This window comes from Homo sapiens, chromosome 5, assembly GCF_000001405.40.
Source record: "Homo sapiens chromosome 5, GRCh38.p14 Primary Assembly".
NCBI lineage: Eukaryota > Metazoa > Chordata > Mammalia > Primates > Hominidae > Homo > Homo sapiens.
The window spans coordinates 55,786,014-55,803,737 of NC_000005.10; the positions used below are offsets into that span (position 1 = coordinate 55,786,014).

At 38.1% G+C, this 17,724-nt stretch overlaps 1 protein-coding gene across 7 annotated transcripts in view, besides 1 other annotated feature; it reads left to right on the forward strand.

The window, feature by feature from the left end:
- DDX4 (DEAD-box helicase 4) overlaps positions 1 to 17,724 on the forward strand; it is a 79,097-nt gene that overhangs the window by 47,953 nt on the left and 13,420 nt on the right. For all 7 annotated transcript variants that reach the window (XM_024446119.2, NM_024415.3, NM_001142549.2 and 4 more), the window contains 5 exons: positions 505 to 657; positions 1,833 to 1,987; positions 4,563 to 4,692; positions 6,628 to 6,794; positions 12,413 to 12,558. In XM_024446119.2, coding sequence (XP_024301887.1) covers positions 505 to 657; positions 1,833 to 1,987; positions 4,563 to 4,692; positions 6,628 to 6,794; positions 12,413 to 12,558 — 751 coding nt within the window. The remainder of the gene's footprint in view (positions 1 to 504; positions 658 to 1,832; positions 1,988 to 4,562; positions 4,693 to 6,627; positions 6,795 to 12,412; positions 12,559 to 17,724) is intronic.
- Positions 17,029 to 17,212: a silencer, noted in NCBI's record as "fragment chr5:55098870-55099053 (GRCh37/hg19 assembly coordinates)". NCBI's record gives its function as "represses an EF-1alpha promoter that drives an FKBP-Casp9 reporter gene in an ReSE screen in K562 erythroleukemia cells {active_cell/tissue: K562}" and the evidence as "EXISTENCE:reporter gene assay evidence [ECO:0000049][PMID:32094911]".

The window sequence follows — 17,724 nt, forward strand, 5'->3', positions numbered from 1 at the left end:
TTACCATCTATAATAGAATTAATTGCTATGTCAAAAGAGAGTAATAGATTTCATCCCCACTCCCCATACCAGGATGAGAATTTTATTTAAACTTACTTAAAAAATGCTTTTCCTAGTGATTCAAGATGTTTTCCCAAGATTGTGAGAAAGTGTGTCTTAGGGCAGTGATTTTTCTGAGAGGGGGAGCCCTCTGTCTCCTATTGATAATTATACTTAGAACAAGCCATTACTGAGCAGAATTCTTCATATCTCATAGGTTTTAAGGGGGCAGGAAAAATGTTTTTAAAGCCACCATTTGTGGAGAATACTTCATGATTCTGTCAAATCATATTATAATATACAGGCTTTGAATATTTACTTCTGAGTGGAGGCATGTTACTAAAGTCACTTTAGTATATAAAGTAGAATTAACAGAACTTGGAAAGTAGCTCGAATGAAATATGCTTATAAATGATCTGCATATGATATATAGAATGTAATCACTGCTTTTTTTTAAATTTTCAGACTTTTGAAGAAGCTAATCTCTGTCAGACACTGAATAACAACATTGCTAAAGCTGGTTATACTAAGCTTACTCCTGTGCAAAAATACAGTATTCCTATCATACTTGCAGGACGAGATTTGATGGCTTGCGCTCAAACAGGGTCTGGGAAGACTGTAAGTCTTTCCCCACATGTCCAAACTGTTAGGTTTTTTGAGCTTTGGTTCTTCCTTAGTAACTTGGTTTCTTCTTTTGAGTAGAAGGTTTGTAGATGGTTTCAGTTACCTGTCATAAGTATTGATGGTTTTGCTTCTGATTTTTATTAGGATTTGTGTACTTCGGAAGAAAGAATTCTGAACTATTCCTGGGGTGGTGTTGCTGTCCATAGATGTTTAATCTTTTCTGTGTGCAGCTCTTTCTGAAACATGGTAGTATCTTAAACAAAGTGACTGAAAGTCAAAGCAGAGCTTATAAAACAGAGAGGGAGAAAGTAATTTCTGTATTATAGCTGGTACACTCGAAGTCAAAAGATTAAAGAATGAGAAACAGTTATGCATTGTGCATGATTCCTTAGTATTCAGTGACCTCAGGTTATGCTAATTATAAAAGAAGTCTGATGAAACCAGTTGGTTTTAGGACTAATCTGGGAGATTTGTGTGTTAATTAACGACTCCATAAGATGAGACTCTTATTTCTATGATCATAGAGTCCATGAGGTCATACCATTTTAGTCTTAATCAGCCTTCATAGTAGAATTGTAGGGAAAAACAGGTATTGTATAGCAGCTGATGAGAGTGTTAAACGTGGTTTTGGAGGTGGATTTTAGCAAGTGTCTTATTTGCTTAAATGAGAAAACTGTAGCACAAAATTTCTGTTGCCAGATGTAACTTCAATAAGGGTAATGTGTTCAGTAATACAGATGATGATTTCTAAGTTTTTACTCTGTGGGCCACTTTTGTCATCCATTCTGAATGATAATTTTATGACCTCAAAAGGACTAACTTAGAGTAATTGTTCACTGTAATGATTTGCAGCGATTACATCTATCATATTCCTCTATAAATATGCTAATGTTGTTGATCTGTTTAGAATTCGTGGGTATGCTTTTGAAAATACACTGAAAAACTTTGATAGGTTAGATTAATTTTACCAAATTTTATATTGTATAATAAGAGCATAAAGACATAAATGTTAAGAACACCTTGAAATGAAAGTTGTTTTCATTTCTCATCTTAAATTTACCAGTAAGATGGAAGTAGAGTCTAAAGGCTATAAGGACATGAGGATTAGCTTTCCATAGGGATAAAAGTGTTGTGCTATAAGTTTGTAAACTAAGCAACTTAACTTCTAGGCGGCTTTTCTCCTACCAATTTTGGCTCATATGATGCATGATGGAATAACTGCCAGTCGTTTTAAAGAGTTGCAGGAACCAGAGTGTATTATTGTAGCACCAACTCGAGAATTGGTCAACCAGATTTATTTGGAAGCCAGAAAATTTTCTTTTGGGTAAGTACATCAGAGTGCTACTCACAAAATAGTTTTTTCTTTAGAGATTTTTTTCCCCTCACTTTTGGAAGAACTCAGTAATAATGCACTCATGTAATTTTTAGCATTACTTAAAGTATTTTTTTATTATCTTGTTTATGGAATCCTTTTCATTTTTGAAAAGAAATATGCTTATTAAAAATTAGGTTAATAGGTTGGACTTGGTGGCTCATGACTATAATCCCAGTGCTTTGTGAGGCCCAGGCAGGCAGACTGCTTGAGGCCAGGAGTTCGAGACCAGCCAGGGTAACATGGCAAGACCCCATCTCTACAAAAAATAAAATAACTAGCCAGCATGTGGTGATGCACACCTGTTGTCCTAGGAGTTTAGGAGGTTGAGGCAGAAGGATTGTTTGAGTCCAGGAGTTTGAGGCTGCAGTGAACTGTGATTGCACCACCACACTCAGAGCGAGACCCTGTCTCCAAAAAAGTAAAATTTTAATTTAAAAAACAGATAATACTAGAAGTAGAAAATAGTGAACATACTGGTATTATTTCTTGGTAGTTTTTAATGTATATTTAAAAATGAACTCAGGGTATTCTAATAATTTCCTATTCTTTTACATAAAACTTTATAACACAGAAAATTCTTATTTCATAATAAGAACTGATTTTTAATGACTTTTAAATTGCCCATGTGTATACATTTTATTTCTCTGTTCTGAGGTATTTAGGTTCTTTCTAACTTGGGGCTATTGTAAACAAAATTGCAATGTACATCTTGCTACATAGTTTTTCTGTTTTGGCCAGATATGATGTCTTACACCTGTAATCCTAGCACTTTGGGAGGCCAAGATGGGCAGATAGCTTGAGCCCAGGAGTTCAAGACCAGCCTGGAAAACATGGTGAAAACCCATCTCTACAAAAAAGAACAAAAACTAGCTAGGTGCAGTGGTGCACCCCTGTAGTCCCAGCTACTTGGGAGCCTGAGAGATTACCTGAGCCTGGGAGGTCGAGGCTGCAGTGAGCTGTGATTGCGCCACTGCATTCCAGCCTAGATGACAGTGAGACCTTGACTTATATATAAAAAAAACCAACAGTTTTCTGTTTTAAGTATTTTCTTAGAATAGAGTTTTATCAATTTTAATGTTAAAGAGCAGGAACTTATTTTAAAGCTTGTAATTAATGTATATTTGTGCCTGCAGTCTATCAGAAGTCCAATTTCAGTATACCCTTTGCCAACATTTAGTTATCGCTGCCTAACAAACTCCCTTAAAACATAGTTGCTTTCAACAATAAACATTTACTGTCTCACCATTTTGGGGGCTTAGGAATTGGGGAACAGCTTGGCTTAGCTGGGTCCTTCTGAGTTAAGAGTTTCTTATGAGATTGTAAACGAGATGTCAACCAATTCTGGTTTTATTGTCAACCAGACAAGATGTCAAGGCAGTCATCTGAGGGCTTCATTGGATCTCTCCATAGGGATGCATGATTAAATGGCACTGGCTTCCCCTAGATTAAGTGATCAGTAAGAACAAAGAGGAGGCTGTAATAGCTTTTATGAAATAGTCCCAGAAGTCACACATTGTCCTTCTGCCACATTCTCTTTGTAAGAAGCAAGTCACTAAGTTTGACCCCACTCAGGAGTGGCTATATTATAATTTATTGGAACTAGTGCAAAATTGAAAGTGCAGGGTCCTTTGTTGTAAAATTATTACAAATTTCAAGGCAGCGACAACAGAGCATTAAATGAAACACGGGATTCTTCTGAACTTGGGACTCTGTGTGACTGGACAGGTTGCACACTCATGAGGCCAGCCTTACCCACACTGAAGGGGGAAGGTAGAATCCATATTTGAAGGAAGGAATATATTGAAGAATTTGTATATGTATGTTAAAACCACCACAGGTGATTTTATTCTTTTCCATGCTTGAAATCACTTTAATATCAAACCTGATAGATCTTTTGGAAAAACATGTGGATTGCTTATTTCAGTGTTTATATCTTGCTAATCCTCATGTAACATGTTGCTTTCAGGCTTTTAAATCAAGTAAAAGATCTCAGAAATCACCACTAAATAACTTATCCATGTAACGAAATACCACCTGTTCCCCCAAAAGTATTGTAATTAAAAAAAAAAATCAAGTAAAATATCACCTTTTTTTTTTTTTTTTTTTTTTTTAAGATGGAGACTCGCTGTGTTGCCCAGGCTGGAGTAGAGTGGTGGGATCTCGGCTCACTGCAACCTCTGCCTCCTGGGTTCAAGCGATTCTCCTGCCTCAGCCACCTGAGTAGCTGGGATTATAGGCGCATGCTACCATGCCTGGCCAATTTTTTGCATTTTTAGTAGAGACTGGATTTTACCATGTTGGCCAGGCTGGTCTCAAACTCCTGACCTCAGGTGATTTGCCCGCCCTGGCCTCCCAAAGTGCTGGGATTACAGGCGTGAGCCACTGCACCCAGCCAGAATTTAATATTTTTTTAGATAGTTGAATGTTTGTTTTTTTCTTTTTGGATTTTGTTTTATATCTTGTTAGAAACAGATGCCTAATTTTTAAGTAACTAGAAAATAACATTTAGTTTTCTTGTTAATAGGACTTGTGTAAGAGCTGTTGTTATATATGGGGGAACCCAGCTGGGACATTCAATTCGACAAATAGTACAAGGCTGTAATATATTATGTGCTACTCCTGGAAGACTGATGGATATCATAGGCAAAGAAAAGGTACGCCTTATAGGAATAATGAAGTTGTGAGATTGATACTTTTTGTTTGGTATGGGAAAAGGAAAGAATGAGGTAAAGACAGATGTATTTAGTAGAGCACTATTTATGTGTTAGCCTCCATCACATTCTTTGAATGCATTCTTATATAATTCTCAAGATAATCGCAGGGAATAGTGTTTTCTAATTTATACTTGGGAAAACAAACTCAATGAGATTATGTAATTTATTTTAAAAATCCCTGAGTTAGCTCTAGTAAGTATAGAGCTAATGTTAGAATCTGGGTCTGATTCCAGAATCCATATTCTACATCCCACTACGCTGGGGGAAAAATGTAGTTAATAACTTTTTATCTGGTTTCATACATGTCTTGGGGAAATAGTTTTTCTCCTGTAAGAAACCCTTTGTGGCATCAATAATTCTGTCTCCTATGTAAGCATGGGAATGATATTAACCAGGATTGTTAATTTTCTAAATCTTTAAAAAGATTTTAGGGCCATGTACTTATTTAGGAATTCATATACTATATTTTTGTATCTCTCAATCAGTACTTTCAGTTCACCTTAATGAACCAGATTTGCTTTTTAAAAACTCTTTAAAGGGTGCTTCTGAGTTAAGAGTCATTTTCATCCCTCTGGGTTACTCAAAAAAATGTTATTTCTGCATAAACACACCTTTCTTAGTATACTTATTAAAAGGACCCAGAGATATCTACCTTACTTTCTTGCTAAACATCTTCATAGTGGTACCAAAATCACTTTGCAAGTGTGTTCTTCTGTTTATAGTAAAAGATGTTCATGCAAAGGTAAGAGGTTCCTGATTGTTCCCGAGTGATTAGAGAATGGAGAATTTACTAAGGATTTAAAGAGGTTAGAAAAAATTTTACCAGTTAGAAGATATTTGAATATGTCATGCTGTTAGGATATTTTCTTTCTTACATTAGAGTCTAACTTTATCAAATACTATAATCTAGATCTGTATTGTCCAATACAGTAACCACTAGCCACATGTAACAATTTAAATTTAAGAATGATAAAAATTCAGTTCCAAGTCACAGTAGCCACATTTCAAGCGCCTAATAGCTAGCTACCTTTGGCTAATGACTAACACGTTAAACAATGCAGATAGGCTGGGTGCAGTGGCTCACGCCTATAATCCCAGCACTTTGGGAAGCCGAGGCAGGCATATCACGAGGTCAGGAGATAGAGACCATCCTGGTTAACATGGTGAAACCCCGTCTCTACTAAAAACACACACACACACACACAAAAATTAGCCAGGCATGGGGGCATGTGCCTGTAGCCCCAGCTACTTGGGAGGCTGAGGCAGGAGAATCACTTGAACCCAGGAGGCAGAGGTTGCAGTGAGCTGAGCTTGTGCCACTGCACTCCAGCCTGGGCAACACAGCAAGACTCCTTCTCAAAAAAAAAAAAAAAAAAAAAAAAGCGCAGTTAATAGAACTTTTAAGTAATTGCAGAAAGTTTTATTGCACAGTGTTGATCTAGACATTTGGTTTCTTTTAGACTTAATTTTAAAAATGCTTTATAACAGAAAATTGAACTGAAATATACAGTAATATTATCTAAGCATATCAATTCTCATTTTATACACTAATTTCTAGTCTTTTTTCTTAACAGTATTTTATTTTTTTTTATTTTTATTTTTTTCTTTTTTTTGAGACGGAGTCTCGCTATGTTGCCCAGGCTGGAGTGCAGTGGCGCGATCTTGCTCACTGCAAGCTCTGCCTCCCGGGTTCACACCGTTCTCCTGCCTCAGCCTCCCAGGTAGCTGGGACTACAGGCGTCCGCCAACACGCCTGGCTAATTTTTTGTATTTTTTTTTTTTTCTTAACAGTATTTTAACAGTTGGAATTGTAGAGAATAGTTTAATATAAACTAATATGCATTTTCTGTTTTACCTTTGAAAATATCCTTAAAGATTGGTCTCAAACAGATCAAATACTTAGTTTTGGATGAAGCTGATCGCATGTTGGATATGGGTTTTGGTCCAGAAATGAAGAAGTTAATTTCTTGCCCAGGAATGCCATCAAAGGAACAGCGCCAAACCCTTATGTTCAGTGCAACTTTTCCAGAGGAAATTCAAAGGTTAAGTTTTTTTCTTAAAAATAATTTAATTATATATATATACATACTTTTATCAAAGTGGAAGCACTGTGAATATCCTATTTTTAGAGATTTGTCGTTAAGATTTTAATATAGGTAGTTTAAAAAGTAGATGTATTTCTAAAACGTTTGCCACATTTTCCATTGTTTCTTACCTTTATTCCTGGCTTTGTGTTAACATCACATTTTATTTAAAAAGTGTGTGTGTGTGTGTGTGTGTGTGTGTGTGTTTGTGTGTGTTGTTGTTGTTGTTGCATAGAATCCAGCTAGGGTTTAATAAGTGCTTACTAAATTAAGTTATTTTTATTATTATGCCTTCTTTTCAAACCTAAATCTATAGGATTTGGGAGAACTGAGGCTTTGGTAGAAAATTCATATACCAATTATTGGCAGATATTTGAGGATCATGTTATATACCATGGGGTCTAATGAATTCAGAGATTAGGGTGACACATCCCTACTGGAATGGTGACTCTTTTTCCTGCCAGCCCCTTGTCTCAAGGAGCCAGAAGTGCCCAGGCAACAGCAGAAGCTTATACAGATGGGTCCTATGGTTCAACATAAGATTTTATGATTTTTTTACTTTATAATGGTTTATCATAGGTATTAATTGCATTTTTGACTTAAGATATTTTGGACTTAAAATAGGTTTATCGGGATGTTAACCCTGTTGTAAGTTGGGAACCATCTGTAATTCAGCAGGACTCTTGCTATTTTCTCTAGTGGAACTGCGTTCTCTTTGGGAACCAAGACGTCAAAACCTGTAGAACATAAAGTTGGAGGACAAGAAGGGATGGGAAGCATAGATTTCCCTAGTGGGTCATTGAGAGTGATGGTAGGTGGGCCAGTAGTGCTTGCTCTCCTGGATTCCCAGACTCATGCACCATATATGGATATTTGATTTGAGGAATTACCGTGTCATGTTGGATAATGCCCTGTCTTCATAAAGAGTTGCCTCCAAACTCACCCTTGAACTGTTTTTTCTGCAGACAGTTCCAATGTTCCAATGTTCTCTCAGGTTGGCAGCTTCTGAGTGGTGCAGTATATATATTACCTGTGAATCCTATGGTTATGGGCCTGTCCCAACACCTCTTTTGCTTTAAAGTTGGTCCCCTGGTTTGATAGAATGTTACATGGGATCCTGTGCTAGTATATCAAACATTCCCAAACCCTTGAATAGTGGTGCTGGCTATTGATTTATTTTTTATATGGTAAATCTTTGTGTAAAGTTAGGAAGAGTTCTTTATTGGGGGAAAATAGAACTCATAAGACAGCATTAGGTCAATTGGCAGGATATTTTTCTTTCTTAGTGGTACATAAAACAATCATTTCTTAACAATTGAATAGTATTTTCTTTCTTTTTTTTTTTTTTTGTGATGAAGTCTTGCTCTTGCTCTTGTCCCCCAGGCTGGAGTGCAATGGCGCGATCTTGGCTCACTGCAACCTCAATCTCCCGGGTTCAAGCGATTCTCCTGCCTCAGCCTCCCAAGTAGCTGGGATTACAGGCGCCTGCCACCACGCCTGGTTAATTTTTTTTTTTTTTTTTGTATTTTTAGTAGAGACGGGGTTTCACCATGTTGGCCAGGCTGGTCTTGAACTCCTGACCTCAGGTGATCTGCCCACCTCAGCCTCCCAGAGTGCTGGGATTACAGGCATGAGCCACCACACCCAGCCCTATATAGTATTTTCAGGTGGAAATGGGGTATTTGCATTCCCACCATTTGCTTTGGTAACTATCTAATTAGCAGCCTGACTCTTTTTAGATTCACCCTGAAATGGGAAAGTATTTGTATGTTGGCCACCCAAAATGGCAAACGTACTATTGTCAGTCAGTAATATTTGTCGAGGATCTTTTGTGAATCATATTTGATTATAAGCTCTGGGGATATATGTTAAACAAAATAAGCTCCTATCTGACCTTGAGTTGTTTACATTCTTTGCTTCCTGACTCTCCCTCAGTTGCTTCATTTTATCTGTTCTTAAATGTTACCAGTTGCCCATCATTCTGTGCGAAGTCCTTTTCTCAATGTGCATATTCCCTGAGTTATGATATATCCGTTCCCTTGGCTTCTACTTATACCTGTAACTCTCCCAAATTTCTTCCCTGTATTCCTAATCTCTCTCTGTAGCCCCAGACCTTTTTTTTTTTTTTTTCTTGAGACAGAGTTTCGCTCTTGTTGCCCAGGCTAGAGTACAATGGCACGATCTCGGCTCACCGCAACCTCCGCCTCCAGGGTTCAAGCGACTCTCCTCCCTCAGCCTCCTGAGTGGCTGGGATTACAGGCATGTACCACCACGTCCGGCTAATTTTGTATTTTTAGTAGAGATGGGGTTTCTCCATGCTGGTCAGGCTGGTCTTGAACTCCTGACCTCAGCTGATCCGTCCGCCTCAGCCTCCCAGAGTGCTGGGATTGTAAGCGTGAGCCACCGCACCCGGCCCAGACTTTTAAATTTAACTTCTTGGGGTGTTTGTTCTCCCAGATGAATGACTAGTAACTCACGTTCATGTCCAAAATAGAACGTAATTTTTCTTCAGTTCCCTTTTTCCCGTTTTCTTTATTCTGGTTATTGGCATCATGATCTTTTAAAGCCAGAATTGTTTGAATCGTGGTGATTCTTCTCTCACAGTCTTTTAACTCCGCTTTTAAAAATACTGAACTTGGGCCAGGCGCAGTAGCTCATGCCTATAATCCCAACACTTTGGGAGGCTAAAGAGGGAGAAGCATTTGAGCCTAGAAGTTCAGGCCCAGCCTGGGCAACATAGTGAGACCCTGTCTCTATAAAAAACATTTAAAAAATTAGCTGGGTGTGGTGACACGCACCTGTAGGTTCAGCTACTCAGGAGGCTAAAGTGGGAGGATCTCTTGAGCCCAGGAAGTTGAGGCTGCAGTGAGCCATGATTGTGTGCCCCTGTACTCTGGCCTGGGCAACAGACTAAGACCCTGTCTCAGTACAACGTGGCAGTGATATTAGGGTTCTCCAGAAGGACAGAACCAATAATATATATGTAGATATAAAAGGAAGTTTATTAGGGAAAATTGGCTCACACAATCACAAGGTGAAGTCCCATGATAGGCTGTCTGCAAGCTGGAGAAGAGAGAAGCCAGTAGTGGCTCAGTCCAAGTCTGAAAGCCTCAAAACCAAGGAAGCTGATAGATTCCCCCAAGAAGCTGCTGGTGCAAGTCCCAGAGTCCAAAGTCCAAAGAACCTGGAGTATGATGTCCAAGGGTAGTAGGAGCAGAAGCAAGCATCCAACATGGGAAGAAGAAAGAGAGCCAGAAGAGTCAGCAGGCAAAGTTATCCCACCTTCTTCTGCCTGCGTTCTTGTAGCTGCGCTGGTAGCCAACTGGATGGTGTCCACCCACATTGAGGGTGGGCCTTCTTCTCCCAGTCTACCAACTGAAATGTCAGTCTCCTCTGGTAGCACCCTCAGAGACACATCCAGAAACAATGTTTCACTGGCCATCTAGGCATCCCTCAATATAATCAAGTTGACACCAAATATTAACCATTACGGTAGTAATCTCTAAAATATTTCACATCTGTTAGCTTCTCTATTTCCCACCTTAATTTAGGTCCTTATCAATTTTGCCCTGCTCACTGGAAGTGGCTTTTTAACCTGTCTCCCTGCTTCTAGTGTCACTTCTGCATTAGTGGCAATGCCAAAATAAAGTCTGATTCTTTTAAACATTTATTTAAAATAAACCTTCCCATATCTTTCCATCTTCATAGACTGATTTTTAAACTCTTTAACACATGACAGTCTCAGGCTCACCTGCTACTTTCTTACCTGGAGTCGTGTGTTTCTAGTCTACTAGAGCTATTTCCTCTTGGCTGAGAAAGCTGAATTTTACTTTCCTCATTATTTGTGCTTGTTTCTTCTTTCCTACTGCTTAGAATGCCTTTCCACAATCATTAGTGTTCCACATTCTTGCCTGCTGCTTCCCTAGATCAAGCTTCAAACTTGAAGACTTTTCTTTTCTTTTTTTCTTTCTTTCTTTTTTTTTTTTTTTTTTTTTTTTTTTTTTTTTTGGAGACAAGGTCTCACTCTTCTCGCCCAGGCTGAAGTTCAGAGGCACAATCATGGTTCACTGCCACCTTGACCTCCCTGGCTGAAGCGATCCTAGGCCCACCTCAGCCTCCTGGGTAGCTGGAACTACAGGCATGCGCATACACACCTGGCTAATTTTTTATTTTTTGTAGAGATGGGGTTTCACCATGTTGGCCAGAATGGTCTCAAACTCCTGGGCTCAGGTGATCCACATGCCTTGGCCTTCCAAAGTGCTAGGATTGTAGGCATGAGCCACTGTGCCCCGCCTCAAACTGGAGGATTTTTCTAAATAGACATCATTTCATCCATTTCCTGCCAGTGTATCTTGTGAAAGAAACTGTTTAAGTCACTTTGCACATTTCTTGGAACATAGTGTTCAGTAAACATTAACTATTCTAACACTAAACTGTAATTTTTCTTAATATATCTTTCCTACTTGAAGTGAGGATCTCATAGGCTAACACCATCATGTTCATCTTTGTACTCCCAGTACCTTGTACACATGACACAAAACACTCAGTAGTTTTAGTGAATGAAAAGGGTGATGGATAATCATCTGAAGAATTTCAGATGATTTCAAGATTTGTGCCTGGGTGAGAGAGTGACTCTAAAAGAAGGTATAAAAAAGCTTTTCTTTTATGATAAGAGATCAAGTAAGGAGAAAGAAGAAGCAGTGATTTATTAAGAGTCTGGATATGCTGAATTTGAGCTGTTTTCATGAAGGACTCAGCTGGTAAATAAGGGACTGCTACATAGGAGGGAGAGGCATTGAAGAGAGATTTGGGCCTCCCCATTTATCCCTAAAAACTCATCTTTCTCATTAGCAACTTTGTCCACTCCCCTATATTTCTATGTGATCTAAAGCAAGACTTCTCAATTGCAGCTGATAGTGAGTTAACTGTGTGTCAAGATATTGATACCCTTAACCTTTGGGGCAGGCACACCTATCCTGATTCCGCTATGTCCCTGGGCCTTTCATCTCGTCTCACTTGTTTTGCCCAATTGTGCTATGCAAATACTACTTTCTATGTGTGTCGTGACAGACAGAGCACTGACCTAAGATCTGGTTTGCTTGAAATCATTCATTTGAAGTAGAGTAATTTAATAGGTAATATTTTCAGAAAACAACTAATAATAGCATAAATAAAAGCAATGAGTGGAGAACAGAATTTGTGTCTCAGGCTTACATTTCAGGTTTTACTAAAAAATAATTCCTGCTTATTGCAGTTTATTTCTTTTAGTTCATGCTTTTTTTTAAGTGTTATACACATATTTTATATAGTTTTGCGTGGATAGCAAATCCACTTGTAATTACCATATCCATACTTTGACAAACTTTTTTTCTAGTAGTTATGTATTTTGCAAAATCCTAATATTTTATACTGATCTTTCACAATAGTACTTGGGTGATATAAGTAACCAACCATCTTATAGCTGTTATAATCTGCTGTCTGATTAATATTGAGATAACACCTACAGGAATTCAGTGGATATTATGGATACTGATGGAGAGGAGGATAAGTTAAAGAATAATCTTTTGTTTTTCAAGGTTGGCTGCAGAGTTTTTAAAGTCAAATTATCTGTTTGTTGCTGTTGGACAAGTGGGTGGAGCATGTAGAGATGTTCAGCAGACCGTTCTCCAAGTTGGCCAGTTCTCAAAAAGAGAAAAGCTCGTTGAAATTCTGCGAAACATAGGTATCTTACGTTGATACATTTTTTTGTCATGATTTTGATTTTTTTTAATGAATAATTTAAAAAATCACTAAAGAATTGTTTGGTCTGACTTTTCATAAGTTTGTTTTAAGTCTCTCTCCCTCTAAAGCTCTTTTATAAAAAATTTTATGATTCAGTTTTCTGGGTAAATTATATAAAAATATGGTCGTTTCTCCACCATTAAGTTTGAAAATAGGAAGGATTTGAGACTTCATTTTAACTATTCCACCAGAAATGTATCTATTTTTTGTTTTAGGAAACTAGAAAGGCTTAGTAGTGACACATATTTACATCACACTATTACTCCATCAAAAGCAGATTGTTTTTCTGTTTCTGGTTCCTAGCTCTTGCTTCCTAAGGCTTCCCAAATTCATAGATTTGAATAATTTTTTTAGCTAAAAGGGGCTTAAGATCTAGTTCTCTTCCTTCACAATATCTGTGGGAATTTTTTTTTCTCCTCTACTCCCCCAATCAATTTTTATTTTTATTATCTTTTTAGAGATAAGGTCTCACTTTGTTGCTCGGCCTGAAATAATTGTGTAGTCATAGCTTATGGCAGCCTCAAACTCCTGGCCTCAAGCGATCCTCCCACCTCAGCTTCCCAAGTAGCTGGGACTATAGGCATGCGCTACCATGCCTAGCTAATTCTATTATTTTTTGTAGAGATAGGGGTCTCACTATTGACCAGGCTGGCCTTGAACTGTTGGCCTCAATCCTCCCACCTTGTCCTTCCAAAGTGCTGAGGTTACAGCCATGAGCCACTGTACTCACCCCAATTTTACTTTTTATTATTTTTAATTTTTTGAGACGGGGCCTTGCTTTATTGCCAAGGCTGGAGTGCAGTAGCATGACCATGGCTCACTGCAGCCTCAAGCTCCCAGGCTCAAGCAGTTCTTCCACGTCAGTCCCCTGAGTAGCCGGGACTACAGGCGTGCACCACCATGCCCAACCAGTTTTTTAGTTTTTGTAGAGATGGGGTTTTTACCATGTTGCCCAGGCTGGTCTTGAACTCCTGGGCTCGAGTGATCCACTCACATTGGCCTCCCAAACTGCTGGGATTACAGGTGTAAGCCACCATTCCTGGCCCAATTTTTATTTTTGAAGTCATTTTTTTTAGTTCGGTTGTTTAGCCTTATTTTGAGACTGGAAGCAAAAATTTTAAATATGTTCATTTTAATACCTTCTCATTACCTCATAGGCTAGGTCTACTTACATGTTACACTTTCTCCATCCACACCCTCCATTTTAGTACTTGCGTTTCAGCTTGAATGTCAGTGTTGAGAGAGAAATGCGAAGGTGGTTCATCAGCTAATTTCCAATAATGAGCAAAAAGAAAAAATGGAAAGGTGACTTAAAAAGCACTTACAGGCTTCTGGTCTTTAATTTGTCCTAAGTTTTATAAAAACTTTTAAAAACCAAATACTCATCTTGAGTTTGAGAAATTTTATTGGTTGGCTTCATCAAATGTTTCATAATATACACTAATAGCATATAAAAATAATAATAGCTATGGGCCACATACTGTTCTAATTATTGGACATGTGTTAGCTCATTTAATTCCCAAAACAACCTTATGAAGTAGATTTTGTCATTATCCCCATTTTAGGGATGAAGAAACAAATATAGAGAGGTCAAATAACTTGTCCACCATAAATTGATGCTGCTAATGCCGAAGAGATGAGCACTATATGGTTTTGCTGAAGTTAGAACATATTTCTAATATAGTCACCTTAAGTTTTTTTTTTTTTTTTTGAGATGGAGTCTTGCTCTGTCACCCAGGCTGGAGTACAGTGGCACAATCTCGGCTCACTGCAACCTCTGCCTCCCGGGTTCACGCCATTCTCCTGCCTCAGCCTCCTGAGTAGCTGGGACTAGAGGCACGTGCCACCATACCCGGCTAATTTTTTTGTATTTTTAGTAAAGACAGGGTTTCACCGTGTTAGCCAGGATGGTCTTGATCTCCTGACCTTGTGATCTGCCTGCCTCGGCCTCCCAAAGTGCTGGGATTACAGGCATGAGCCACTGTGCCCGGCCAAGATTTTTTTTATATATGAGCTTGTGGGATAAAGTTTATTTTGCAAGTAATCCAAAAGGAGAGAGTTTTTCAGAAGAGCTGGTTTGCCCTTGAGAAAAGGTCAATGTATTATATATGAGCACTATTGATATACTTCTGTATTATTTAAGCTGTGAAATATTTTTTTTGGTTTAGTGTTCATAGTTGATACCTTTTTAACTTTGCATGTAATATCCATCCAGTATATCCTCAAATTATATAAATTTTGTTCATATGATTTATCTCCTTTTCTACTCTTTCACTTAATTATGCTATTTTTTTCCTTTTGCCTTTAAATATATAAGTTTATTTCGGAGTGGCATAGCCCAACTGCCTTTTTCATAATTTTAATTTTAAGTCAACAGAGATCAAAGAGTTTATTGAGCTCTTTAGTTACGAAAGGAACCAGTAAGATGTTACAGCTAGTCAAAAGGAGAATTAAAAAAATACATGTATATTTAGGCCAAGCTTGTCCAACCCACAGCTCACAGGCCACATGCATCCCTTTGATGTGGATAGCTTTGAATGTGGCTCAACGCAAATTCGTAACCTTTCTTAAAACATGATGGGGTGTTTTTTTTTTTTTTTTTTGCGATTAAAAAAACATTTTTTTAAAGCTCATCAGCTATCAGTAGTGTTACGGTATTTTATGTGTGGCCCAAGACAATTCTCCTAATGTGGCCCAAGGAAGCCAAAAGATTGGACACCCCTGGTTTAGGCAATTAGGAATGCTAAAATTAATTTAGAGGTAGATGTAAAACTGGTCATTATTCAAATGCAATAATCACATTTCAGGGGAAAACTTTATTTGCATTTTTACTGAGAATCATTGGCATTGCTATCCATTGCAACAGTTATGAAAAAGAATATAGAAGGCACAAAGAGTGTGCTAGACAGTAATCTTTTTTGCTTACTTCAAATTCTTCCATAATTTTTTCTGACAGCCTGTGTCTACCTCATGACCATAATAATCTCAGAGATAGTCTTGATGACAAGAAGTTTGGTCTTATGTTTGGCTTGCTTATTGGCATGGGTGCAGCAAGATTGTTCATTAACAATAAATGGGCCTCCTTAAGTTTGCTGAACAGTATTGACTTACTAAAGTCACAAAATTAACTTTTGTCTGGAAGTTTTCATAAGGAATGTCAGATTGAACTTTAAAAATCCTTTATTATTTGCTATCTAAGGGATAGGAAACTAAGTCTCAGAAACTCTCTCTACTAGGTTTCACCTGCAGTACCTATAAATTGGAGTGAATCTCACTCTACGAAAGGTCCCCCATATTTCCTGTGGTTCCTGTCCTGTCAGGAAGTGTATGACCTTCCTTAAAATCTCCAAGGCTGGGCCATGTAAGCCAAGCACCAGGTCAGCTTATATGGGAGGTCTTTGTAGGCATTGGTTCCATAAGGAAAGCCAACCTTTGTTCCTTAAAAAAAAGTATCTGGTCCTACCTACCATTCCATTTTCAAATACGAAATCCAGGTGAGATGTTAGTTGGACAGGTAACTTGTCCACTTATATCTTGGTTAAAGGAGGCAGACAGATTCTTATTTAACTGTTGCAGGTAACTACCATGAAAACTAAGGAGACTTAGTTAAGAAATCTGAATTTGGGTTGGGATGGGGTGTCAGTGAGATGCGAGATCAGATATGATTTTAGAATGTTTGATTTTAGTTTACAAAAGCAGAGTCTACTAAAATGTGTAAATGACAGCTAGCTTAAGAGGAAAAAAGCCTTCTTCATATATCCAGAAAATAGAATATTAAAATAATATTAACAGTATTGCAAACAAATGGCCACAGAGAGATATTCTCCATAAGCTCATTCAGTCCTTATGTAATTCTTATTTCATTGTATATGTTAGGGATCAGCTTGCATGATTCTGTCTGTTTCTAGAAGGACTAGTCCTGGAAATCTCACTCAGTCCAGTGATAGGGTCTAAAAGTTGTCAAAGCAGTCAACTTTAGAACCTTCTACCCAAGACTCTATTCTTTGAAGTATTAATAGTTCTTCACAAGGCTTGGAGTCTGTCCTTTAGGACATAGACTCTGATCTATAGCTTACAGCACAGCCTTTGGGCAAGCATCTAAAGAAAACAAAAGCTGTCTGAAGATGACAGATTTAATGATCATGGTAAATTTGTTACCGGTAATTGTTAAATATTGAGGGTCTGAGGAAGGTTCATGATAAGAATAATGCTACTGATAAATTTTTTTCTATGACATGCAAAATAAAGGTAATAAAGCCATTTAAAAAATACTAGGCAAAAAATCTGATTAAGCTTATTTTCTTTCTTTTTTTTTACAGTAAACCCTTTTTTTATTATATACTTTTTTAGGGTACATGTGCACAACATGCAGGTTTGTTACGTATGTATACATGTGCCATGTTGGTGTGCTGCACCCATTAACTAGTCATTTACATTAGGTATATCTCCTAATGCCATCCCTCCCGCCTCCCCCCACCCCACGACAGGCCCCAGTGTGTGATGTCCCCCTTCCTGTGTCCAAGTGTTCTCATTGTTCAATTCCCACCGATGAGTGAGAACATGTGGTGTTTGTTTTTTTGTCCTTGCAATAGTTTGCTGAGAATGATGGTTTCCAGCTTCATCCATGTCCCTACAAAGGACATGAACTCATCATTTTTTAAGGCTGCATAGTATTCCATGGTGTATATGTGCCACATTTTTATTATTATTATACTTTAAGTTTTAGGGTACATGTGCACAATGTGCAGGTTAGTTACATATGTATACATGTGCCATGCTGGTGAGCTGCACCCACTAACTCGTCATCTAGCATTAGGTATATCTCCCAATGCTATCCCTCCCCCCTCCCCCCACCCCACAACAGTCCCCAGAGTGTGATGTTCCCCTTCCTGTGTCCATGTGTTCTCATTGTTCAATTCCCACCTATGAGTGAGAATATGCGGTGTTTGGTTTTTTGTTCTTGTGATAGTTTACTTGAGAATGATGATTTCCAATTTCATCCATGTCCCTACAAAGGACATGAACTCATCATTTTTTATGGATGCACAGTATTCCATGGTGTATATGTGCCACATTTTCTTAATCCAGTCTATCATTGTTGGACATT